The sequence below is a fragment of the Homo sapiens genome, chromosome 2 (assembly GCF_000001405.40).
Source record: "Homo sapiens chromosome 2, GRCh38.p14 Primary Assembly".
Taxonomy (NCBI): Eukaryota; Metazoa; Chordata; class Mammalia; order Primates; family Hominidae; genus Homo; species Homo sapiens.
Genome location: NC_000002.12, coordinates 28403808 through 28429044, shown reverse-complemented (window position 1 = coordinate 28429044; position 25237 = coordinate 28403808). Strand labels below are relative to the sequence as shown.

Below are 25237 nucleotides of genomic sequence, written 5' to 3'. Positions count from 1 at the left end.
TTCCATCAATGAACCTGCACTGACTTATCATTATCACCTGGATTCCACAGTTTACACTAGGATTCCCTCACTTACAGACATGCAGTTAAGTTTTTTCCATGTCTTTTTGTGGTTTCATGGCTCATATTTTTTTTTTTTTGTAGCACTGAATACTGAATAGTATTCCATTGTCTGGATATACCCCAGTTTATTTATTCAGCATCTACTGAGGGTCATCCTTGTAGCGTCTAAGTTTTAGCAATTGTGAATAAAGCTGCTATAAAATTGGTGTGCAGGTTTCTGTGTGGATGTACATTTTCAGTTCCTTTGGGTAAATACCAAGGAGCATAATTGCTGAGTCGCCTGGTAACAATATGTTTAATTTTGTGAAAAACCACCAAACTGTCTTCCAAAGTATTTGTTCTGTTTTGCATTCCCACTGGCAATGAATGAAACTTTATTTTATTTTATTTTTTGAGACAGGATTTTGCTTTGTCATCCAGACTGGGGTGCAGTGGCCCAAACATGGCTCACTGCGGCCTCAATCTCCTGGGCCCAAGTGATCCTCCTGCCTCTGTCCCCCAAGTAGCTGGGACTACAGGCACACACCACCATGCTCTGCTATTTTTTGTATTTTTTGTAGAGATGGGTTTTTGCCATGTTGCCCAGGCTGCTCTCAAACTCCTGAGCTCAACGATCTGGCAGCCTTGGCCTCCCAAAATGCTGGGATTACAGGTGTGAGCCACTGCACCCGGCCGAGACTTTTATTTTAAATCACAGATGAAAGTGACTTGCTTAAGATTACACAACTATTAGTTGGTAGAGCAGCACTTCTGGTTCCATACTCTGGGTAGTTTCTGTTTGACCACACTGTCCCCTCAGCTAGACAAGCCAATCCCATGCCCTTACAAACACTCCCACATTTCCTGACCCTTGCTTTTGAGGCCTCATTCTTGGTGCAGAAGCTTCCTGAGGCATCCTTCTTCTGCTCCATGAAGGAAAGACTGTCATCCATCCAGGTCCTGTGTCTGAGAAGCTTGCGATGCTCTTGCAGTGCCCTGGCATGCGCAGGGGCCAATGTCCAGTTGTCCAAGCTTACCTGTGCCAAGAGAGGACCCGGGTGGCTCTGCAAGGCCCTCTTTCTAGTCAGAAGAGACCCGGCCAGCCCCAGAATCTGAGGAGTCACTGGAACGTCATCAGGGACTAGGAGAGGAAAAGGCCCCCATGGCGCTCCCCTCTCTCCAGATCCAAGCTCTTTCTTTGTCTCTTTTTGATGCGAAATTCACATAACATAAAAATTAACCATTTTAGGCCAGGCATGGTGGCTCATGCCTGTAATCCCAGCACTTTGGGAGACCAAGGTGGGTGAATGACATGAGGCCAGGAGTTCGAGACCAGCCTGGCCAACATGGAGAAAGCCCATCTCCACAAAATAAATAAAAAACAACGAAATTGACCATTTTAAAGTGAACAATTCAGTGGCATTTAGCACATTCACGACGCTGTGCAGCTACCACTTTTATCTAGTTCCAACACTCTCATCACTCCAAAGAGAAACCCCATCCCTGTTAAGCAGCCAGTGTCGCTTTTCGCCCTCTTCCTAGCCCCGGACAGCCACCAATCTGTGTTCTGTCTCTTTGGGTTTACCCAGTCTGGTAATGGAATAAATGGAATCATACAACATGTGGCCTTTTGTGTCTGGGTCCAAGTTATTTTCCATTACTCCCTGAGGAAGGAGGAGGAGAAGGGACCTCTTCTGCCTTTGTCTCCCTCCCCGTCCCTTGTCCACCTTGCCCTGTGCGCCCACCAGCAGCACCTGTGGCTCAGCTCCTCCATTCTATGCTATTTCCTATTTCTCTTTTTTATTTTTTGAAAAAGGGACTCACTCTGTTGCCCAGGCTGGAGTGCAGTGACGTGACCGTAGCTCACTGCAGCCTCAACCTCCCAGGCTCAAGTGACACTCCCACCTCAGCCTCCTGAGTAGCTGGGACTACAGCATGCACCACTACGGCCAACTAATTTTTAAAACTTGTTTTTTGTAGAGACTGAGTTTCGCCATGTTGCCCAGGCTGGTCTCGAATTCTTGGCCTCAAGTGATCCTCCTGCCTCTGCCTCCCAATGTGCTGGGATCACAGGCATGAGCCACCATACTCAGCCTCCTATTCCTTTTTTTTTTTTTCAATTTTGTACATTTTTAATTCTAAATTTTCTCATTACACAAATAAAAAGTGAAGTAATAGCTGTTGAAATGTTGGCTCTATTAGCATAAAAAGAATTTGCAAACGGTTAAATATTTCCAATTTCATATCAATGTCATCAGTTGCTTTGAAGGAAAAAAACAGTTAATTCCAATAGTGTTTGATTTTTATTTTTCATCTAATTCATAACATCCTATTCCTTTTAATTACCCTTAGCAGAGTACTTTGAGGAGTCATAGATGCATTCAACAAATAGCCCATAGGCTAGCAGCGGGGAGAGACAGGTTAAGTGTCATTAAAACTGTGATAAGGCAACACTAGCAGTTTTACAGAGAGCCAGGGGACCCAGAGGAGAGACAACTAATTCAGCCTGGAGGTGAGGCTGGTGAGGGAAGACAACACGGAGGAGACAGATGCGGGGCGGGGGAGGGCAGGCCGGGTCTGTCTTGTTCACTGTTCCTCAGCACTCAGGGTAGTTCCTGGCAACTAGAACGGGGATGAGTGAACAAGTTAATGAATCAAGCAGGCAATCTATCAGCCAAGAGCTGAAGAATTAATAGGAGTTGTCTCTACCAGAAAAAATGGGTAGAGCATATCTGGAGACTTGTAGGCAAGAGGGTCAGCCCTTTTATTACACTGAGTGGTATTTCGGTCTAGATGAAGGTTGAAGAAGATGGGGGGTAAGGACAGAAGAAGTTGGGGCCAGATCATGCAGGGCCTTGGAAGCGACATAAAGGAGTTTGACTGAGTAAAAAGAGCGACCTGAGTAAAAAGAGGGACCACTGAAGGGTTTTGCGCAGATGTACGTTTTAGAAACACATCTGTCTAATCCAGGCTAGGGATAATGATGACCTAACGAGGCTCCCAGCAGACAGAACGTCATTCTTGCACTCCTGCTATTGGTGTTCTACTGGAAAACAGAGGTGTTTAATCAAAAATAACCATAAAAAAATTAATGAATTAATCATAAGGATGCAAGGTGCTCTGAGGGATGCTATGAGTCAAGAAAATCCTTCTCAAGACCAGGAGGGACTTTGAAATCAAAACTTGGGAGATGAACAGGAGTTGGCCAACACTGAAGCTTTTGGGAACGTCCTGAGCAACCTGTGGTGAAGGAAGTGAGAGAAGTCCAGGGTAGTTGCGGTGAAGAGTGTGAGGCTGGGAGACTGATCGGATGAGGCTGGGGCGATAAGTAGGGCTCAGACCAGAACGACCCTATTACACATTTTGGACTTACCCTAAGCAAAATAGGAAGTCCTTGATGATGTAAACAGGACCCTATTTTGAAAAATAGGATTAATTGCATTTCTCTTTTGCATTTCTGTGCATGTGACCTTCTTCCTGCTCAGCTCAAACATCTGCTTCCTTGGGGAAAGGGACTAGGATTATCAAAGAAAAAAATGGAGAGGAAGATAATGAATAGCTTCTGACCTCCAAAATAAGATTTTTCAGCCAGACAATAGTCTCAAAAGACATTATTTTTAAAAGAAAAAAGATGTTCTGTTGTCTTTAGCTCCCTCTTTAAGATATCAAGAAGCCCTGACAGAATTAATCATGGGGCTTTACCTAAAGAAAAGAATAGAAGAGAAACCCCTGACCTTTAGTCCAAAGGATGGCAAGGAGGAGGCCAGAGAGAAAGCAGGTGGGAAGGAAGTCAGATATGCGTCCTAATCTTCTATCTTCCATTGGAAGTCCCAGAGGGTGAAGATGCCTTAGAAGAGAGAGGAACAGGTGGTCCTTTTAGGTCCCTGGGAAGAGATTTCCTTGAATATCTATCCAGAGGTCTTCACATCAAAGTAAACTTGGTGGTTTGGTGTGGTTAGTCACAGAGAGGGTTTGAACTTAACCTTCTCAAGCCACCCTGGGTTCCCATGTGGTGTGAAAATGATGTCTACGCTAGATCTTTAGCTGTGGTTTTTGCTTAAGAAACTGACTAGAAGCAAATAGATTGAAAACCTACCAAGCTTTTAAAGAAAATGTATAAAATTTTTTTTAAAAAGCAGTGAGTATGGTCTGTCATAACCTTAACAGTTAAATCCTAAAACAATCCAGGGGCCCCAGAACCTGCCGCAGCAAGAAGTAGGCTGTGAATACCCGGGGAGCCCACTCACCAATGCCCATATCGAGGGTGGCCATGGAGGTTAGTGAACCAGGAAGAACCTCCCAGAAGGAAGAGCCCAGAGACACAGACAATGAACAAAATAATTATTCCCAGAGAGCAAATTTTTCCCCCAACCTCTGGCTCCAGACTTTCAGATAAGAGAAGAAAACCTTGTATGTTCAAGGTTCTGTTGATTTGGGTTTTCAGGCACAGGCGGCTGCATGGAATCCTAACGGAAGTACCTCTCCAATAGGCTTGGAGTAGGAGCCTGAAGTAATCAGTTTGGTTTTAGGGACCCAGAACCTGCAGCAGCAGCAGGAAATAGCAGGCTGTGAACACTCATATCAGTTTGTTTTGGCTGCAAAGTGGGGACTGGAGATGACTGTGGTTGTCTGGATGAGAGATGAGAGGGGCTTATACTAGGATGGAGGCAGTGGGGCAGGATAGAACATTCACACGGGGAGCAGACAGGACTTGGGGGTGTCTGCATTGATATGAGGACTGAGCAAGAGATGAGAGTCAAGGACAGGGAGAGGAAAGTTAAAAACAGAAAAAGGCATTTCACAGAAAAAGTGGTTAGCAGTGCCAAATGCTGGGCAGTAATCAAAGATGATAAGGGCTGAGATGTGTCTGTGTAAGATTTTGTCACAAGGAAGTACAGAGGCTCAGGGCAGAGAGGGGAAGCCAGACTTCAGCGGGCTGACAGAAGAGTGGCAGTGAGGAAGTGGATGCAGTAAGTAAACATAACTTCACAAGACTCTCAGCTGTGAAGCTGAAATGCGAGTGGGGCCAAGGTCGGTTTTTGTCATGTTTAAGATGGATGATACTTGATCACATTTAATGCTGATGGGAAAGGGCCCTTGAAAAGACTGACGTCAACCACAAAATAAGAATAGGAGGAAGCTGGTGGAAGAGGGTCCCTGAGAAGAAGGAGCACGGTGGGTACCCAGAGCTGGGCAAAGGAAGGGGCTTGGGGGCAGGAGGGGCCCTTCTCTGTCAAATCAGGAGAAGGAGGGAAGGTGGGAGACAGATGGCAGCGATGGGAGATGGAGGAGATGCCCTCTGATGGCCTCCATTTTCTGTGAGGTGGAAGGTGACATCGTCTGTAGAAAGTGAGGGGGCTGGGGGGCCTGAGAAGAGGGGAGCCCCTCTGGGGAACAAGAGAACACTGGCCGGGAAAACACAGAGGGCTCAGGACCAGGGCAGGGTGGAAACATGACGTGATGGTGGCACCCATCTGCACGTCCTCCAGCTCCTGGCATTAAATGCCTAAAACCGAACTCAGGACCTGGGCCTCCTGCCCCCGACCCAGCTCCTCCTCTTGCCTCCCAGTTTTTATTCCTGGAACCAGACCTCTCAGACTCGGCTTCCCCAGGAACGTCCTTCTGACATCACTGCTAGTGCGGACTCTTGCGGGGCCTCCTTCCTCCCCCCGCCCACCTTTCCTGCACACCTGCAGCAATAACCTCTCTAGAGTGGGACTGCGGCTGTGTCACCCCTCCGCCATGCAGCTGCCCCATTTGCAGCTTCCAATACCTAGAAATAAATCTCTCATTTCTTCTTACTTTTGGGGTCTGTTTAAATGCCACTGATTCTGGAAAGCCCTTTCTAACCATCCCCCAGACTAGGGAAAGTCCCCTTGGTACCTGCCCCCATGGTGCCTTATACATCTCTGTGAGACACTCGTGAACCTGTAATTACTTATTCTACAATGGCCAGTAGCCAGGACAATGGCCTGGGGTGGGGGTGGGGGCCCTAAGGCTTCCTTGTCCCCTCTGTCTTCCTGGAGCCGAGAACAGTGCCTAGCACAAATAGGCACTCAATAAAAGGCGTTGATAGACTGACTATAGAAAGGTTCAAGCCTGCCTTAGGTTGGCAGCTTAAATTTCCAACATCCCCAATCAGCCCATGCTCAGGACATCCAGGCCTCCTGCACAGCCCCCAAAGCCAACCCATGTTCTCTTCCCCTTGTGTTAGATTGTTCCCTTGGCCAGGCACGCTTGCTCTCTTCTTTATCCATTTTTTTTTTTTTTTTTTTTTTTGAGGCAGGGTCTCACTTTGCTGTCCAGGCTGGAATGCAGTGGCATTATCACAATTCACTGCAGCCTCCACCTCCTGGGCTCAAGCGGTCCTCCCACCTCAGCCTCCTGAGTAGCTGGGATCACAGGTGTATGCAACCATGCCCAGCTAATTTTTTAAGTTTTTATAGAGACGAGGTCTTGTCGTGTTACCCAGGCTGGTCTTGAACTCCTGGCCTCAAGTGATCCACCTGCCTTGGGCCTCCTGAAGTGCTGGGATTACAGGTGTGAGCCACCGTGCCCGGCTCCACTCCATCTTACCCATAGCCATCCCACTTTCAGGCTCCAATTTAGGATCCTCTCCTCCATGGAATTGTCTCTGAAATCCCCCCACCTGCCACAGGCCAAAATGTCTGTGCTCCTTCTCCTTCCACTCCAACCAGATTGCAACCTCCTTGAGGGCAGCTTCTAGTTTTTAGTTCATTGCTATTTCCAGTGAAAACATTTGGCTGTGAAATAAAGAGACACCTCATTTCTAACACTGGCATCAACAGTGTCTTATAGAACTGTGTCCCAAGAGTGCCTTTGGCGGTGTCATGCACTTAGTAGGAACACAAAAATATTTTTTAATGAATATTTTCTCCCTCATCCCTGTAAGAATATAATGGTGACAGTCTCCAACTGCACACTAATTTTTTTAAATGCGGTTCTCTTATGTTTAAAACACAAGGTGTCTGTTTTTATCAGTGAATGTAGTCTGTCTTTTCAGATTTATTCCATCTTTGAGAAACAAATGCATGCCATTTGCACTGGATCAAGGTAGTAACTGTACTTGCCAGTGGAACAGACACACCACTGTGTAAGAAAAAAGGAATTTCTGGCCGGGTGCAGTAGCTAACCCCTGTAATCCCAGCACTTTGGGAGGCCGAGGCAGGTGGATCACTACAGATCAGGAGTTCGAGACCAGCCTGGCCAACATGGTGAAACCCCATCTTTACTAAAAATACAAAAATTAGCTGGGCTTGGTGGTGCATGCCTGTAGTCCCAGCTACTTGGGAGGCTGAGGCAGAAGAATCACATGAACCCGGGAGGCAGAGGTTGCAGTGAGCCAAGATTGTGCCGCTGCACTCTACCCAAACAATAGAGCGAGACTCCATCTCAAAAATAAATAAAATAAAAAGAAAAAAAAAAAGAGAGAATTTCTAATGGAGTTGAGATTTTCCAACACATCCAGCAACATTTGTCTCTTGGGTTACTGAATGAGACCATTTATATAAAGGCACATGAAAAGGTTACGAAGTATGGAAATAAAGGGGAAACAGTACCACTAGTCTCTATTAGTTTATTTTCTGTGCTAATGTTTCATGATTCTTTTTTAGTTCAGAAAATAGAGTCACTGGGATTCTCAGAAATACTACCTAAATATAAATCCATAGAGACAGAAAGCAGATTGGTGGTTGTCAGGGGTTGGGGAGGGAGGACTGGGGAGTAGTAGCTTAATGGGTTTGGGGTTTTCTTTCTGGGTGATGAAAATATTTTGCAACTAGACAGAGGTGGTAGTTGTATTATACAACATCGTGAAGGTAATAAATGCCACTGAATTGTTCACTCTAAAATGGTTCATTTTCTTCTATATGAATTCCACCACAAAACAAAGATATGTCACCTATATAATACTGAATAGTTTCCAAAGGTCCTGAGGGACAAGGCAGCGTTATGCTCTGAAATAGCAGCAGATCTGAAGGCCCCACAGCAGCCTGTACTTTGCCTTTGGAGAAAGAAGGGGGGTCCCCCGTGTCTAACCAGGGCCCTGTCCTCACAGTGCCCTCAGAGACATTCAGCCGAATGCCACTGCAGTCCAGGCCACTGCGGAGTGTTTGTGTTTTGGTTTGTTTTCCCCTTGGGCTTACAGAAGGACTTGTGAAGGTGTTTAGTTTGGTTAAGGACTTCCCACTTCCAGAGGTGGAGCCTGAAGAAGGTTCTATTTTTTTTCTTCAAGTGAGTGGAACTTTCCAGGGACAACAACTCACAGGCTATGGATAGACTACGGATGCACTTCACTGTGGCCTCTACTCATGAGGGGCCTAATGGACGAGGAGGAGGAGGATCTGCCCAATGGGCAGTCATGGGGTATAGTCCCCTCTCCACTCCAGGAAGGTTTGGCAAAGGCAGAAGCTGACTGCAAAGACTGGATGGGTTGGGTGCAATGGCTCACGCCTATAATCCCAGCATTTTGGGAGGCCGAGACGAGTGGATCACCTGAGGTCAGGAGTTCGAGACCAGCCTGGACAACATGACGAAACTCCGTCTCTACTAAAAATACAAAAAATTAGCTGGGCGTGGTGGTGGGCGCCTGTAATCCCAGCTACTTGGGAGGCTGAGGCAGGAGAATAGCTTGAACCCGGGAGGCAGAGGTTGCAATAAGCCAAGATCACACCACGGCACGCTAGCCTAGGCAACAAGAGCAAAACTCTGTCTCAAAAAAAAAAACCCGAAAAAACAAAAAAAACAAAGAAGACTGGATGGACTTGTCCTAACAGCTCACAGTGTCTCAGGAAACAGTCCTTTAGTTGTCTCATCAGGTGTAAGAACAGCATCCTAGACCAGGTACACAGTTGGCCCTGAAGGCCATCAGACCTGTGTGAGGGCCTGGCAGGGCCCTGTGGCCAGCAGGGGCTGAGCTACCCATGTACAAGTATCCCATTCACCCTTTAAACACACAGGCCAAAAGGAAAATCGCACTCTTCATTTCAAACATGGCACTGGAGCCCAGAGCCCAGTGGCTTCACCTTAATCAAGTTGCCTCCATCAACACTGTCACAAAGGTCTATGATTTCAACTACTTAAGTTTCCCTCTGACTTGAGCCCGTCACCTCTTTTCATATGCCCTCACACATACATGGTCTCGTTGCTCAACATGTTGGAAAATATCAGCTCCAGGAGAAATTCCTTTTCCCTTACATAGTGGCAGGCCTAATGAACACAGAAAGCCTGGAGACTGGGTTGTGTTCACTTGGGGAACTCTAGGTCCAGCAAAAGGGGATGGTCCCAGGGATCCCTCACCAAGACAGCTTTCCTGGGGAAGCAGATTGTGCTTAATCCTCAAAACTGCAAATTTGTTGGAAATGTCATCAAGAGTTAACCATTACCCCAGGTCACTGAACTGGTTTGGGCCGAGGCAGCCTAGAATGACAGGTGACTGCAACATTCCCCCAACAGACCGTCTTAGGTTGAGAACCCAGTAGAGGTCGCCCCTTACTTTTTTTCTCCATAAGAAACTGAAAAACTGTCTGGATGCTTTGAAAGCATTTACAGCTGCTCAGAGAAGCTTCTGACTCCATCTAATAAGCCCCTGGCAGCCATCAACCTCTCTAATTGCCCTATAGGTGAAGAGGTGGGAATTTAAATAAACAGTGGATTTTGAAGATGAACAATGTTATGGAAGGGCCTAGGCATGACAGCCAAGCATCAAAGCATGAGCACATGTGTCTCTCTTGACAACATAATCCCCAAAGCTCAGAGAAGCTGGATGTGGACCTCCCGAGCATCTGCCTCCTTGGCATTTATACCACAAGGAAACATACCAGTTACTCAAGAAAGTACAGGTAGCACTGAAACCCTCCAGATTCCTTCTGGTTCCTTGTCTACTCAGGCAGAAGAGGTCATTACAAGGCCCAATGCTACGACTCTGAGTGGCCCTGTTCCCTAATGCCCCTGGCTCACATAAAAGGAAAACGAGGCCATGTGCGGTGGCTCACGCCTGTAAACCCAGCACTTTGGGAGGCTGAGTCGGGTGGATCACTTCAGGTCAGGAGTTCGAGACCAGCCTGGCCAACATGGGGAAACCCCGTCTCTACTAAAATTACAAAAGTTACCCAGGTGTAGTGGTGCACATCTGTAATCCCAGCTACTTGGGAGGCTGAGGCAGGAGAATCAGTTGAACCCAAGTGGCAGAGGTTGCAGTGAGCCAAGATCATGCCACAGCACTCCAGCCTGGGCAACAGAGTGAAACTCCATCTCAAAAAAAAAAAAAAAAAAAAAAGGAAAAGGAAGGCATATTGTTATTCTTCTTAAGTAGGTACTCTTCTATATTATATATTATATATAAAATAAAAAAGGAAAAGGAAGGCATATTGTTATCCCTCCTGTTTACTTATATATTTTACATATATAATATAATATTATCATGACCCTGCTCCTTTACTGATGAGGAAACTAAGGGTCAGAGAGGTTAAATGGCTCTCTCCAAACCTCAATAGCCAGTGAGTATTGGGGGCAGGCCTAGGATTTAGGGTCCCTGTGACTCCCAGCTCAGTGCTCTTGGTGTCTCCAGAGAATGAGGCCTATACACTGAGCTTGTCTAAAGCATGTGGGAGGCCAGGCATGGTGGCTGATGCCTGTGATCCCAGCACTTTGAGAGACTGAGGCAGGAGGACTGCTTGAGTCCAGGAGTTCAAGAAGCGCCTGGGCAACATGGTGAAACCCTATCTCGACAAAAAATACAAAAATTAGCCAGGCATGGTGGCAGATGCCTGTAGTCCCAGTTACTTGGAAGGCTGAGGTGGGAGGATCACCTGAGCCGGAGAGGTCAAGGCTGCAGTGAGCCATGGCTGTGCCACTGCATGCCACCCTGGGTGATAGAATGAAATCTTATCTCAAAATAAAATAAAATAATAAAGCATATTGGAGCAAGTGGTATAATTTCTAGGGCTAAGTCTCAGCCAGCTGCCAGCCACCATGGGCCTTAACTCATGACAGGGTTTCGTCCCTATCATTCGCACTACAAGGAAAGAGTACCCCAGAGCAGATGTTCCCCAATCACCCTGGGATTCCTGGTCTACAGGATAATGGGGGCCTGAGATGACACTTTTAAGTGCTCAACACCTAACAGCCTGTGACTTTTCAAAAACAGAAGTCTAGAGATGTGATCACCCAACATATTTGCACGGTTTTCTGAGCCCTTTCCTGCTCGTGATCTCATCCAACCACCCTGACAACCTTAGCCATACATTTAATTGGTTCTTTGAAGATTTCTGGGTTTCCAGAGTCAACCTGTTCAAACAAAATACCCCAAGGAAGGGATAGCACCTTATACTTTTATTGGCTCACAGCTTGGCAAGAGTTGGCAGCTGGCTGAGAATTAGGCCCTGAGAAGGAAACAGGATCAGGAGGGATTGGGAAGGGGTCAAAAGGGAAAAGAAGAATGAGACGGGGCGGTAGACATGCCCCGATGCCCTCCCAGAAGCCCACCTCACAGCTTTGCAGAAAGAGGTTCTAAGCAAGCAGAAGGAAGTTCCCAGCTCCCCCAGCCCCCCTGCCACCCCACCAGCAGAAAAACCAACTTTACCCATGAGGGCCAAAGGTAGAGAGGAATAGAAGAAAAAGAGAAGAAAAAGGAGAGATGGGAAGACAGAATAAACCAACCATCAGAGGCTCTTCAATCTTAATTCATTTTATTCTACAAAATGCTACTCAACTGAAAGTGGAAATGCTAACCCCCCTCCCCCAAAAAAATCGCAAGGGAAAGAAGTTTTAATATGTTCTTTCTTCCATAGCAGCAAGCTTTTTCTAACAAGCTTTCTTTAGTGCAAATACTGTAGGCTTGTATTACATATAGTAAAACAACAAAACAACAACAACAACAAAAACCACCACCAGAAAGGCTTCCAAACAAAGCTACTCCTCAATTTTCAAAACTATACAAAGATTTTGAGCTTGCGGTTCTGCCTGGAAGGTCTATTTAGGAGACTCTCCAATGGGACCATTTCACCATTACTTAAAAAAAAAAAAAAAAAAAAAGTGCCCAGAAAGGTAATTAAATTCCCCATAGAGCCATATGAACCATATACAACTTGTTTGCCTCCAGAGTCTTACAGCTGACTTTACTCCACGTCATTAACATATCTCAAATACAGATGCACAAAGCTTATTTTCTACTATACACCAAAATACTATATATATACACATCTCCCACGGCAGAAAAGACACCCTGATACCCTACTCTTTACACAAAGTCAAATATTTTCTTCCTCAAAATCAAGTAAACACAAACTAAAATAAATGGAATAAACTTTTAATCATACAGAGAAAATAATTTTTGAGAATCAGGACAGGATCTTCCACTGTGTTCTCTTACAATGTAGATGTCTTGGCGACCACTGTCCCCAGAGGAATGAAAATCCACCTTTAAAAACAGAACCTTTTATACAGTTTATACAGCACAAATCACAAATCACTTTAGAAACAAAAATGTGTTATCCTAAATTTAAAAAAAAAAAAAAAAAGGAAGCGAGAAGAGAGAGAGGAACGGAGTATTTTAATGCTATCAGTTTCTATTCAGGCTTGATACAACATAAAGAAGATGTAAACATTTAAAATAAATAATAAAATAAATGTCAATTTCTTCTCCCCCTCCCTTTCCCATAACCCTCTCAAAATTTGATCCAGCCCCTCCTGAACATGTCGTCAAGCATTGGATAAATTAAACCCCTTGGTTGATGTATGGCCAAAACACTAGAAGCATAAGAAGATGCCAGATTCATAGTGGGATGACTGGGTTTCCTTTTAAAAAGCTACAGGACACAGGCACGCCTGGAAATGTATACACACATGCGCACACACACAGCCCAACCTGTCAATAAATAGTGAGATGCTGGCTTTTAATATGAATGCCAAAACAACTCAACAAGCAGAAGGTAGCAAAGACTCCTTAAGTTTTTTAAAGAAAATTCACACATCACATATTCTATTGGTCCCCAAATTCTCTAAGGACTTGGGTTACCCCTCTGACCATCTGAGGAGTGCACGGGAGCACATGGTGGGGTAGAAGGAGAAGTATGGAGTGGGAGAATATTGTAGGGGATAAGTCCTTGAGAACAAACATCAGACTGAAGGCAATCTTACCTTGGATCTTGAAGACAGACCTTCTCACCTCTAAGTGTTTCTGTTTATCCATTACTTAGGGGCCTTTTATAAAGAGATGTCCTCATCCCTTAGTCTCATCCTAACGAGGATCTATATAAAAGCGCCTAACACAGTGCCTGGCACATCGTAGGTGTATTCTTTTCCTTCCTAAAGGGGGCACAAAGATGTCTGATCAGGAAAGGAAATCGACCTGAAAGTTAAATGGCGAGATTGCATTTGCACTGTTGGTCCATCAAGGAAAAGAGAAAAAAAGTCCCAGTGCTCCAGACAATTCAACCACACTTGGAATCAAGTGAGAGGAGAGGGAGATTCCTTTCCCCAGAGCCTGAGAAACAGAAGCAGCAGCCCCAGATGGCTTTTGACTTTGAGATGCTTGTGTGACACACCTGGCCCCCAACACAGGCAGAATGATGTTTGACTCTGAAAACCTCCCCAGTGAATTATCTGCTTGGAGCCGGCTCCAGCAATTTCCTAAGCCTCAGCCGGGATCGCCTCTCCTTCCTGTGCCAGCAGCTTCCCCCATTCAACTGGCCAGGGAGAGGACTATTCGCAGAAAGACTGGCCAGGAGGCCAAGAAGACGGTGTGTTTTACACGAGCTGATCAGAGCGCCCGCCCTGTGCCGTCCCAGAGCTGCCTGCAGCCCAATCGGAGTCCACACCTCCGAGCTGCCTCGCGAGTGGAGCCACAAGAAGCACAGAAGTTCCTAAGCCAAACAGAAAGGCAGCCCCAATGCAGCTGTTCCCATAGCTGGAGCCATGGAGGTGTCTGGTGATTCTGGAGCAAGGGTGTGTGTGTGTATGAGAGAGAGAACTTGGAGGGCAAGCCATAAGGAAGTAAAACTCAGGATATGCTCACGACTTAGGTGTGAATATTCAGTCTTCCCCAAATCAAATCACCTCTGACTTTGGGGAAGCTGAACGACCTCCTATGACAAAGCCTGGGGGTCTTCACAGGGCACGTAGCTCAGAGTCCTCTTACAGTCCTGTGTGTTGGCTGGACGTTTGCCTTCTGCTGGTCCCAACACCAACACAGCTTGAAATCTGAACTGAAGCCAAGTTGTGCCTCAGGAATTTGTCCAGCCTGGCCACAAATCAGGCTGTGACCTGCACGGGGATCTTTGCTGCACAAAGTGGGGTATAAGGGGGCTTTTAGAAATAAAAGACAAGAAAGCAGCTTCATTTAAGAAATATCTATATGCACAAAAAAGAAAATAGCTCCCACTTGGCTACAAATACCACTTGAGATGATTACCCCTGTGAGAGCTGAGTGCACCCCAGTTTTCTTTGCCCATCTCCTGCTACTCCTGGCTCATTCTGCTGCTTGGATTCATCTCAAGCCAGAAACCCAACTGCCCAATCTTCTTAGAAGGGTCCCTCCCAGAGCCCCTGGGAAATCGGGAGAGGGGCATCACAGCCAAGGGATGCAGGAAATAACATTTTTAAAGTATTTTAAACAAAATCCTTTTTCTTTGAAACCCTCCTTTCTGCATCACTTGTACAGGTCACTTCCAGTCCCACTGGCCCATGTACTTTAAGCATACGGCTGTTCCACTCTGTGTGTCTAGTGCACGAAAACAGGTCATGTTCATGAAATAACATGCGAGGGAACAGCTGTGTGAATGTGTCACTGCTTTCTCCACGGGGGATCTTAATTATCTTTCAAACGAGGATACTGTGACCTCTAGAGCTGAATCCCCAGCAGCAGAGTCTTTGCAGAGCACAAGCCCCGCAGAGGCTGGTTCTGGCCAGGAGCTACTCCCTGGATTCCTGTCAAGGCCCTGCTGGACAAGAAACTCAGCAGGAGCCATACCCTGGGGAGAAAAGGCTCAGAGGGGTGGGCAGCAGGGACCCTGCTGAGCTGTGCTCCTGCTGGAGGCCAGGGGGACCCTTCCCCAACCCCGTGAAAGGGGGCAGCTCTCCTGCAGTGGGAAGCAAAACATCCTATCTCCAATTCCAGCAGCCAGAAAGATTCAACAGACAACCAGGAATGGCGCATGAGCCACAAGCCACAGCGACAGCTCAGGCCAGCTGTTCACAGCTTGCTTGCTGCCTGGGCCAGAAGAGTGCACTGGGGTGGGGACAGGGGAGTGTAAAAGAGAAAGCACTTGATCCAGCAGGTGGCAGATGACCACAGAGGGCAGGAAAGGCCCGGTGCCCTGCGGGGAGGTGAGCAGCCAGGACAGGCTGAGCGGGTGCTGGGGCAGCAGCTGCTGCAGACGCCACTCCAGTGACGGCCTCCCGCCTCCCTCCCCTGCCTCTCCATCCTCAGCAAATGCTTCTTTGAGGCTTGGGGAGGGGCTGCCTGGCAGCATCTGGGGAAGGTCCAGGCCCACGCTCATTAAATCTCTGTGGGTGGCGTCACCCTGAGAGCCAGGGTGGGGGAAAGGCGGAGCCCGGCAGGGACTTGGAGTATAATGTGTGGCTCCTAGGGAGGGACGCCTCCCTGGTCCGGAGAGAAGGGTCCAGGGGCAGAATGGCAAGGCAGTAATTACAGGAGACGCCCTACTCAAGACACCAGGTGAAGGGAAGCTGGCTAGGACACCCGTGTGGCTTTGTTGGCATGCTTCCTGGCCTGGTAATTAGGCGTTTGGCAAACCCAACCTGTGCCCCACTGTCTCACTCACACCCTGTCTTCTGGCCAAGCCGTTCCTCCAGAAGCCGTCTCCGAAGGTGGGCAGGAAGGGTCCTCTGAGCCTCCCAGTGATGGCAGCATCTCCTTGAGAGCTCAGGGAGCCCCGCTGGGAGTTCTGGAGATGATGACTGGGAGGCGTCAGGGTAGGGAAGGCTCTGTATTGCACTTTGTCCCCTTCTGGACAAGTCAGCCCCAGCAGAAGAGCCACCTGCTGCCCCATCTCCAGAAATGAAGAGCTTTAATATTCAGACCACCCAGATGAAATGTCATGGCAAATTTGATAAAAACCAAGAGGGAGTGAAACTGACGCTGGGGGAGGAAAGGGTCAAGTCGAGGGAAGGTGAAACCAAAAGGCACTGAGCATGCGTGGTGGGGCAGGGAAGGACACCATCACTCCAGAGACAGTATGGTAACAAAGGGACAGGAATGGTCCAGGCCAGCTTCAGGCTCTTCAGAAGCCAGAGAGATGTCCAAGTCTACCAAACCGAGTTCTCCAAGGCTTTTCAAGAAATGGGATTTGCTTGCAAGATGAATGAGGGAGGAGGTCCCATGGCTTCTAAGAGATCAACCCAAGTCTTCCAATACTCACTGCTAAGTCCCACCTGGGTCCCCCAGAGCCAGGAAGCTCCCTGGTGGCAGGTCCCCCTCTTGCCCTCACGGCCCTGGAGCGCTTGAAGGTGCTGGTCCCTGGGAAGGAGGAGCGAGGAGGACCCCCTCCGGAGCTGGGGAGGGAGGTGCACTGGGTTACAGAGCCAGCAGAGTGGGGGAGTTCAAGGAGTCTGATGATTGGTCCCCGCTGCTACTGCTTCTGCGGTGAGCCTTGGAGCAGGATTCGGAGGGAGATGCGGGTGACTCCTGCTCCAGGACGCTAGGATAGGTGAAGACGAGGTTCGAGGTGCCCGGAGTGACAGCAGGTGTGGAGGTCACCACGATGGGGGTGTGCAGGGGCTCCTCACCGTAGAAGCCCCCAGCAATGCTGATGGGCTTGATGACAGAGCGCTGGGCCTTGTCCAGCCCCGCCGACGAGGACGAGGGGCTGTCCTCTTCCAGGGGCTCCTGTTTCACCACTACAGCGCCCACCGAGCCACCCCCACTGCGCATGGGCTGCAGCCCAGGGGCTGGGGGCGATCGGCGCTCCTCGGGGCTAATCTTGCACACTGGGCCGTGAGCCACCAACATGAACTCCAGCTTCTCCTTCTCCTTCTGCAGCTCAGCAATCTCCTTCTGCAGGCCTGACTTCTCCTCCTCCAGCTCCTCTGTCTCCTGCCACGGAAAGAGAGGGATGTGAGGGACAGCAACCTGCCAGGGACCAATCTAGGCAGGAAAGAGAAAACCAGTAATGTTCTCAGACACTGTGAGAGCAGAGGCTCACACACCTAACCACAGACCCCGCTGGTCTGAGTCTCTCAGTCACCTGGAGGCTCAAGATTCCTTTCATTTCCAAAGAAGGAAAGTCAGCTTGGAGAGGGGGTAAGACAACAACTGCAGCTGCCATAACCCAGCACCTACTTTGTGCAGGGCACAGTGTTAAGCATTTCAGAGATGATCTCATTCAATCTTCCAGGAGTTTTTTGGAAGCAGATGTTATCATCGCCCCATTTTGCAGATGAGGAAACTGAGGTTCAGAGGGGTTCTGTTAATTTTCCAAAGTCACCGAGCTAGCAGGTGGGGTAGCCCAGATTTGATTCCCAATGTATCTGACTCCAGGGTCTATGTTCTATGGCCTTGGTGCCAGGACTGCCCCCTCGGTACCCCTGAGGGGTGAGTACTGCAGAGATCTGCATGGAGAAGGGGGTACGGAACACAGCTCTACCCACCTCTCTCCTTCTCTTACTCCCCAACCCCATGCCAGCCCACCTGTGGATGGATAAACGCTAAGCCCTAGGCTGCTAGAGAGTGGAGACTTTGTCATGCACACTCCTGTATCCCTAGCACCTAGAACAGTGCCTGGCTTCTCAGAAGTGCTCAGCAAATCCCTGTGGGATTATCACAGCCTCTCCTCCTCCCTTTTTTCACTCCAATTTCTTTCTTTTTTTTTTTTTTGAGACAGAGTCTCACTCTGTCTTACCCAGGCTGGAGTGCAGTGGCATGACCTTGGCTCACTGCAGCCTCTGCCTCCCGGGTTCAAGCTATTCTCCAGTCTCAGCCTCCCGAGTAGCTGAGACTACAGGCACCTGCCACCACACCCGGCTAATTTTGTATTTTTCATAGAGATGGGGTTTCACCACATCGACCAGGCTGGTCTTGAACTTCTGACCTCAGGTGATCCACCCGCCTCAGCCTCCCAAAGTGCTGGGATTACAGGCATGAGCCACGGCGCCTGGCCTTTTGCTCCAATTTCTTAAGCACATATTTCAGGACTCCCAGAACCCTCAGAGAACATTTGGTTCAGCCACCACGCTTGACACAGAAGTAACGTGACAGCCCGAGAGGGCCTGTGAGGATGCCAGGGTCACCCCGCAAGGACCTCAGCCCCCTTCTTTCATCCCCAGCCAGAGAAGCAGAAGCGAGCAAGTGCACGTGGAGGGGCCGCTGTGGGAGGGGAAGAGGTGTGTGTCACCAGCCTCCTCCCCACGTTTTCCCTAACATGGATTCCTGTTCATCAGTGAGGACATACGGGCAAGGGCTTCGTTCAGCAGAGGACAGCATATTCCGGAGTGAAAAACAGTTTCCGTCTGTCTCAAGGGTCTGACGAACGTCATGAGCTTCTGAGAGGCTTCCTGTGGAGGATGTGGCTCAGGGGCCTGGGTGGCTGGGTCAGAGGGCGGGGGAGGTGGGGGAGGCAGGGGAGTAGGGTGTGAGGCCTCTGGGAGGAGGGAAGGAAAGTAGAGGAGCCTCAGGGGGCAGGGCTATTCCGGGGCGGGTGGTGAGGAGCGCCACATGGGGCACAGCTCCTTGAAGTGCCAATCACAGAAAGGTTAGTGGTGGGAGGGCCCGCTGAGGAAGTGGATTGTGGATCTGCCTCACCTGGGAATGAAGAATTCCCACTCATCCTCCCCGGCTCTAACACCTCCGAGGGCCATTACTACAGGCATCACAGAATTCACGCAATTCAATTCATTCAACACCCCAGAGTGAGGGCTGCAGGACAGAGAAAGACAAGCCTAAGTGGGTGGATGGTACCTGGAAACATTAACTCAAGTGAGGGGATGGGCCAGGCGTGGTGGCTCACGCCTGTAATCCCAGCACTCTGAGAGGCCAAGGCAGGCAGATCACCCGAGGTCAGGAGTTCGAGACCAGCCTAGCCAACATGGTGAAACCCTGTCTCTATTAAAAATACAAAAATTAGCCGGGCATGGTGGCAGGCACCTGTAATCCCCGCTAGTTGGGAGGCTGAGGCAGGAGAATGGCTTGAACCCAAGAGGCAGAGGTTGCAGTGAGCTGAGATCGTCCCACTGCACTCCAGCCTGGGCGACAAGAGCGAAACTCCATCTCAAAAAAATTATAATAACAAAAAAAGTGTGAGGGGATGTTTTCCAAAGCCCCATCCTGGGCAGTCACTGTGAGGACCACTGACAGAGTCTCTCTCATCTCCTCACTCTGAAAGCATTCCACTGGGGAGAGTCAACCCTGGCTCGGGGCTTCCTCCACACAGCACACGGCCCTTCCTGCAGGGCCAGGCTCTGAAGGGAGTTACGTGACGTTGGTCAGGTCAAGCTTAACAGAGGGAAGGGCAGGGCTGCGGGTCCCCAGGTCTGGGCAATTAGGCGGCACGGGAGAGTGACTCACAAGAGCAGCACGCGGTACCATGGCCACAGCTCTGAGTTCATGATAGAGGTGGGGAACCCGCCTGCCCATAAAGGAAATGAGAAAACCCCAAGAAAATACAACCCTGCTGCCACGTGACCTATCTCCATCAAGACTTCTCCCTGGCCCAACCCAGAGTGCTTAGGCCAGGCTGGGCCACTCCTGATGGCGGCAGGCATGGGAGTGGCTGGAACCTCGGGAAGCAGCCCTGGATGGGGCAGGTCTGGACCTGCCCTGGCTCCCACCCTCCATCATCCCTCACCCAGGAGCCCCCACAGTTCTGTGAGCAGAGAACACTCAGGTGCTGCGTAAAAACCGTGGCTAGCACCCCCACAGAAGGTTGTTCATTTCTTCCCTCTGGGCCCTGGCTGGTGCTAAACGCCACCTCCCTCTCTCTCTCTCTTTTCAATCAACACAATGCTGACCCATGTGTCCAAAGGAAGGAAAGCTCTATCTCCACTGACTCATCTGTAGGGCATTTGTGGGTAAGGAGACAGCTGTGGGAGAGAGGATCAGGACCCCCGGGGCTCTCACTCCAGCCCACCCAGAGGTGCTCCCACCCTACGCAGAGTTCCTCACCGCCTGCAGCTTCTCTGTCAGCTCCCGGCGTCGGTTCCGGCACTTGGCTGCAGCCAGCTTGTTCCTCTCCCGCCGGATGCGACGCTTCTCCTCCTCTTCAGGAGACAGCTAGAGGCCAAAGCCAAGGATCATGGTTAGAACAGAGACAATGGTTCACAGTATTTTTTAAAAACTGTATTTTAAGTAAGGCAAGAAGCCCTTCTGGAAATGGAGAAAGGAGAAGGAAGGGCAAGAGGAGCATGGCTGGACTCAGAGGCCCCAGAACATGTGGATCCCTGATGTCTGGCTGCCTGGGAGGGCTCTTTTGAGCTGAATCTGCCCCGGAAGGTGATGTCCAAGTTTAAAGTCCATGTTTAAACAGGACAGCAATGGGTCAGAGATTCACTGGCCCAGGCATGATGGCAGCACCTATCACATCAGCCCTGATTCAGTGCTCAGGCCAGAGAGAAGGAGCTGGGGATGCTTCTCCAAGAGTCCCCTCCTGCCAGCCAGGCGTGGCCCCACCCACTTAAGCAGCTTCTTCCAAACCCTGGCTAATTTCTCCTCCCATCACTCTGCCTGCTCTGCAAGCCTCATTATCCCCATTTTGTTAAGTAGCTGGGCCTGGAGTCCCCACACAGGTTAAGAACCACCCAGGGGGGAATGTTATGTTGCTGATGGGAGGGCCAAGAGTGCCACTCCACTCCCGATTTCCTCTGCCAATCCCAGGGTGCCAGCTGCTCACGGTTCAACCCCAGGTACTCCCCCACATGCCTGGTACAGTGCTAAGTTGGACAGGACATGCAAAAGGAAGAGGAGCCCCCAGCAGGTAAAATCCTGCTGCCCACCATATCTGTCCACTCAACAAGTGAGCACCTGGTTCCATGTGCAAGATGAAGTTCTACGGGCTTGGGATTTATCTGCGAACCAAACAAAGGAAGATTCCCCTGCAAAGAGCTTAGGATCTAGCTTCTTCCAGTGAGACAGTTAGGAATCTGTCACTCATACCGGAAAGCATGAACTCTGCTCTACTGAGCAGGGCAAATGCTCTGGTTCTACAGAGCCCTGCAGAGCTGTGACCCCAATGCCTCTCTCAGGCAGAGGTGACACAAGGAGACGGCTGTGGGCCAAAGCAGAAAGCAACACAAAGGGAAAGCCCACCCATTCAGTTATCAGACGTTGACTGCACACCTACTAACTGCCCGGTGCTACACTAGGAGCTTAGAAGATCTCAAGGGGAATAAGACCTGGGTCAGCTCTCACGGGACACCTGGGGGCAAAATCAAAGCTACTTTTGGAGGAGCAGGGAGAAGCTACCCCAAGGAGGGATACTGCCTGGACTTCAGGTCACCCCATGAAGGAAAGAGCCACTGTCCTGGTTGGGTCCAAGTCAGAGTCCCACAATGCTCCCTTTAGCCCTGGAGGTCTGTTGCTGTGATGTTTTGAACAGCAAAGAGAGGACAATCATCACAGCACCAGAGAGGACAATCCCATGCCTGTCACACAGAGGGAAGTCCACAGCCCGGCTGAGGTCATGAGGCCATTTGGCCAAGGCCCTGAATACTTCCTGCTCCTAAACCTGTCTTGTCTTGAGCCCAGCAGAATTGCCAAGAAAGCCTTATGGCCCTGCTGCAGGCCTGGGTTTAGGGCTCACCACTGAAAGGGCCACCAGGGCTCCCCTTAAGGCCCAGGAAGCCCCCTAGATCCCTCGCTAATGAGAGGCAGAAAAGAAGGAGGCTGGCCTTGACCCAGTTCAAGCCCTCCTTCCCCCTTGGCTGCTTCTGGACAACTTTTGGCCTCCTGACTGACCTAGAAGTCTCTCCCCTGACTGGTGAGGTGTGGGGCAACTTGTGGGAGCTGTCAACATAGGAAGTGTTCAGGGGCGGTGAGATCAACATGGTTCCAGCTTGAGTGTGTCAGCAGCACCATGTACCCACCCACAAGCCACACACACCCTCCCCTCCCCACCTCCTCAGAGTCGCCGCCACAGGGCACAGAGGGAACCTCCCAAGAGGAGGCCTATGAGGCACCAGGCCGGCTCCGGAGGCAGGCTCCTCCCTAGCAGGGAGGCTGGGGGAGGCTGGGGACGGCCGGAGTAAGCTTCAGAGCAAAGCCCTGAGGGCTGGCAACCTGAACAGCCAAAGTTCTAGGCTGCCACTGCCCAGGCTTCCTTAAAGCTGCTGGGAGATGTGTGAATTCCCAACTGATGTGGGATACAATGCTCCTTGTTCTCTCCCTCCCTCTCAAAAAAGGAAGGAAACTCTCCAGACAGATTGTATGAGGCACGCCTAGGTGGTGTGGTGGGAAAACCACAGGGCCAAAGGTCAGGAGAAGTGGGTTCCAGTGCTGGCTCTGCTACTAATTCACTGTGAGACTCTAACAGGGCCCTTCACCTTTCTGGGTCTCCGTTTCCTTGTCTGTAAAATGGGTATAAAGGGAAAATGAGAAAAGATGGTCTCCAAAGTCCCTCTGGATACAAATTTCTAAATTTGGTGTGAGGTAGGCCCAGAAGAGAATGGAGAGCGTGGCCGGGCGCGGTGGCTCACGCCTGTAATCCCAACACTTTGAGAAGCTGAGGCGGGTGGATCACCTGAGGTCAGGAGTTCGAGACCAGCCTAGCCAACATGGCAAAATTCCATCTCTACTAAAAGTACAAAAAAAATTAGCCAGGCATGGTGGTGCATGCCTGTAATCCCAGCTACTCAGGAGGCTGAGGCAGGAGAATTGCTTGAACCGCGGAGGTGGAGGAGGTTGTAGTGAGCCGAGATCGTGCCACTGCATTCTAGCCTGAGTGATAGAGCAGGACTCCATCTCAAAAAGAAAAAAAAAAAAAAAAAAAAAAAGGGAATGGAGAGCATTCAGCACATCCTCAGGCTTTGTGGTCCTGCTAGCCCCAAAGAGTACCTGGCAAGCCTGGCTCTCACTCAGGATCACTTATATCCCAGAAGAGTCCAGCTCATCAGTGAGTATAAGGCTTTGCACCTTGGATTCCGTGAAGGAAGCCTATTTATAAAAGTCCTTACAAGCATGGCTACTGCAATATTTACAACTGCAATTATAGAAAGCAACTGTGAGGAGGATACTGGCCACTTGCTCCAGCAGCAGAGGCCCAACATGCAGCTGTGAATCCATTATAGTGTCTAGCAGACACACCTCCCCAAGTGGCTCTGCACCGTGGTTCTGCCATTAACAGAACAAACCAACAAGTAGTGGATACAAGACCCAGCTTTGTCCTCGCAGGAGCAGAGCTCCTGAGAAAGCTTCCAGTTTCTTGGTGTGGTGATCCCTGTAATTCCAAGTATCCTGGGGTCTGGATCTACCCTGATCCACTGGGAACCATGTTTGAAAGGTCCGTATATTGGAACATTGTGGCCCTGGGGATCACAGAGTGAAGATGGACAGTGGTTGAAATGAGGAAGGGTTCCAAGGCTGTCACTGAAATAGTTTCCCAGGATAACAATTCATTTGAAAAAGGGATTCCACTGCTAAAGTATTTTTCCCTTCCCTGGGCTCAGGGTGGCATAGCCCTGGAGAAAGAATACTGCATAGGGGGTCCAGGGAACTGGGATCTAGCCCAGACTTCCCCACTCACTGGCCGAGTGGCCACACACAGGTATGTCTGGCCCTTGCTTGTATCATCTGACATGGGGGAGAGGTGGGGCTCTCTGAGGCTTTATCCCATTCTTTCTGGAATTATGCATGATTCTGATTTCCCTTTCCAAGACCAGGGAACTTGGCACTGCCCTGGCTTACTGCTGATCCAGGCAATGAGCCTCTTGAGTACTAGGTAGGTGCTGCCTAAATAGCAGAGCCCCCCCTTCCCCATTTTCTGGCTTCCCTCCCCAGCCAGGTTAATTCTTTCTCAAAGCTGAGCCCCTTGAAGAGAAAAGGGCTGATGTCTGGCCTCCCCTGCCTCATCCTCCTGTCCATGCCACTGAACAGACTCCTAAGGCCCCAGAGTTACTGCACCTCTGGAACATGCATTCCAGGCCCTTGAAATAGGCTCCTGCTCCGAGTTGGAGGCCTAGAACACTGAGGAGGAATGGGAAGTCGTGGGCAGTACCGACCCAGAGCTTGACCCCGTAGGTCTGCTGGGTGCCTGGCCTGCACTAGACCCTGGGAGACGGCTAAGGGATAATCCTAAAAAGCTCACAGCCAGGGTTCATTGGCTGCTTGTCCCATGGCCCTTTTGCCAAGGATCAGAGAAGGATCCTGCTGTGGGCAGGTCGTAATGGTCCTTCCCATCTGTAGCCAAGTCCTGGCTTGCAGGGACCATGATCCCCATTTTGTGGCTGAGGAAAGTGAGACTCAGAGATTCTAAGGGACATAAGCGAGATGACAGAGCCAGCCTGAGTCTTGGCTCTCCAGCTCGGCCTCCAGTAAGGGGGATGACGTGCTCTTCGACCCCTAGCTCCCTTGTCTCCCCTGCTCTCAGAACATTAACCCTCCCAGTCTGCAGAAACCCGTTCTGTGTTTCTGGGGCTCTGAAAGCCACTGACGTGGCTCCTTCCCACTGGTCTGAGCTGTACCTGCTCATCTCTCCTCCTGCGGCCCACGGTGGTGCCAATGGTCTTGATCACGCCAGGTCTTGGGAGGGCCATGTGTCCAGGGACAGAGGCCAGGCCCGGCAGGGGGCTGTAGGGGTGCGAGCGAGGGTATGGGTTGGACATGGAGGTGATCACTGTGGGCTGCACCATCCACTGCAGGTCCTGGCTGGTCGTGATGGCGTTGATGGTGGGGATGAATGCACTGCCTGAGCCAGGCATATCTACCCGGAATTTCTGAAATGAGGAAAAAAAATACAAATGAGCCAATAAATACTAAGCTGAACAGGATAGTTAATAATAATTGAACAGAGCTGAGGCAAAAACCAGCACAGAGCACAGTCAGTGTTCGAAGGGCAAGGTCAGGACCCCAGGTGGGCCTGGACAAGTCCTGTGCATCCAAGAATCAAGGGGGGAATCTTAATTATGCCTGGGGCTTCACGTCGGATCTGCTCCCTGACTGGGGTCCTGAGAACTCCATCCCCAGGTGGCTCAGTGAGGATACTGTCCTATTCCAAATGACTTCCAAGATAGAC

At 49.8% G+C, this 25237-nt stretch overlaps 1 protein-coding gene across 4 annotated transcripts in view, besides 3 other annotated features; it reads right to left on the bottom strand.

Moving 5' to 3' along the window:
- Nucleotides 1–11727: 11727 nt before the first annotated feature.
- FOSL2 (FOS like 2, AP-1 transcription factor subunit) overlaps nucleotides 11728–25237 on the bottom strand; it is a 24460-nt gene continuing 10950 nt past the window's right edge. For 2 of the 4 annotated variants that reach the window (XM_006711976.4, XM_006711977.4), the window contains exons 2-4: nucleotides 24687–24938; nucleotides 20179–20286; nucleotides 11728–17166 (exon numbers count right to left, since the gene is read on the bottom strand). In XM_006711976.4, coding sequence (XP_006712039.1) covers nucleotides 16597–17166; nucleotides 20179–20286; nucleotides 24687–24938 — 930 coding nt within the window. In that variant the 3' untranslated portion in view covers nucleotides 11728–16596. Of the gene's footprint in view, nucleotides 17167–18469; nucleotides 18573–20178; nucleotides 20287–24686; nucleotides 24939–25237 lie in introns of all 4 variants that reach the window. The other 2 variants (XM_005264231.5, NM_005253.4) reach the window with 2 other exon arrangements.
- Nucleotides 14795–15399: an enhancer, noted in NCBI's record as "H3K4me1 hESC enhancer chr2:28636513-28637117 (GRCh37/hg19 assembly coordinates)". NCBI's record gives its function as "activates a minimal SCP1, AML or CMV promoter by ChIP-STARR-seq in naive and primed H9 embryonic stem cells {active_cell/tissue: H9 hESC(naive and primed)}" and the evidence as "EXISTENCE:reporter gene assay evidence [ECO:0000049][PMID:30033119]".
- Nucleotides 15400–16004: an enhancer, noted in NCBI's record as "H3K4me1 hESC enhancer chr2:28635908-28636512 (GRCh37/hg19 assembly coordinates)". NCBI's record gives its function as "activates a minimal SCP1, AML or CMV promoter by ChIP-STARR-seq in primed H9 embryonic stem cells {active_cell/tissue: H9 hESC(primed)}" and the evidence as "EXISTENCE:reporter gene assay evidence [ECO:0000049][PMID:30033119]".
- Nucleotides 19493–19572: an enhancer, noted in NCBI's record as "active region_15515". NCBI's record gives its function as "activates an Ori minimal core promoter by ATAC-STARR-seq in GM12878 lymphoblastoid cells {active_cell/tissue: GM12878}" and the evidence as "EXISTENCE:reporter gene assay evidence [ECO:0000049][PMID:35858748]".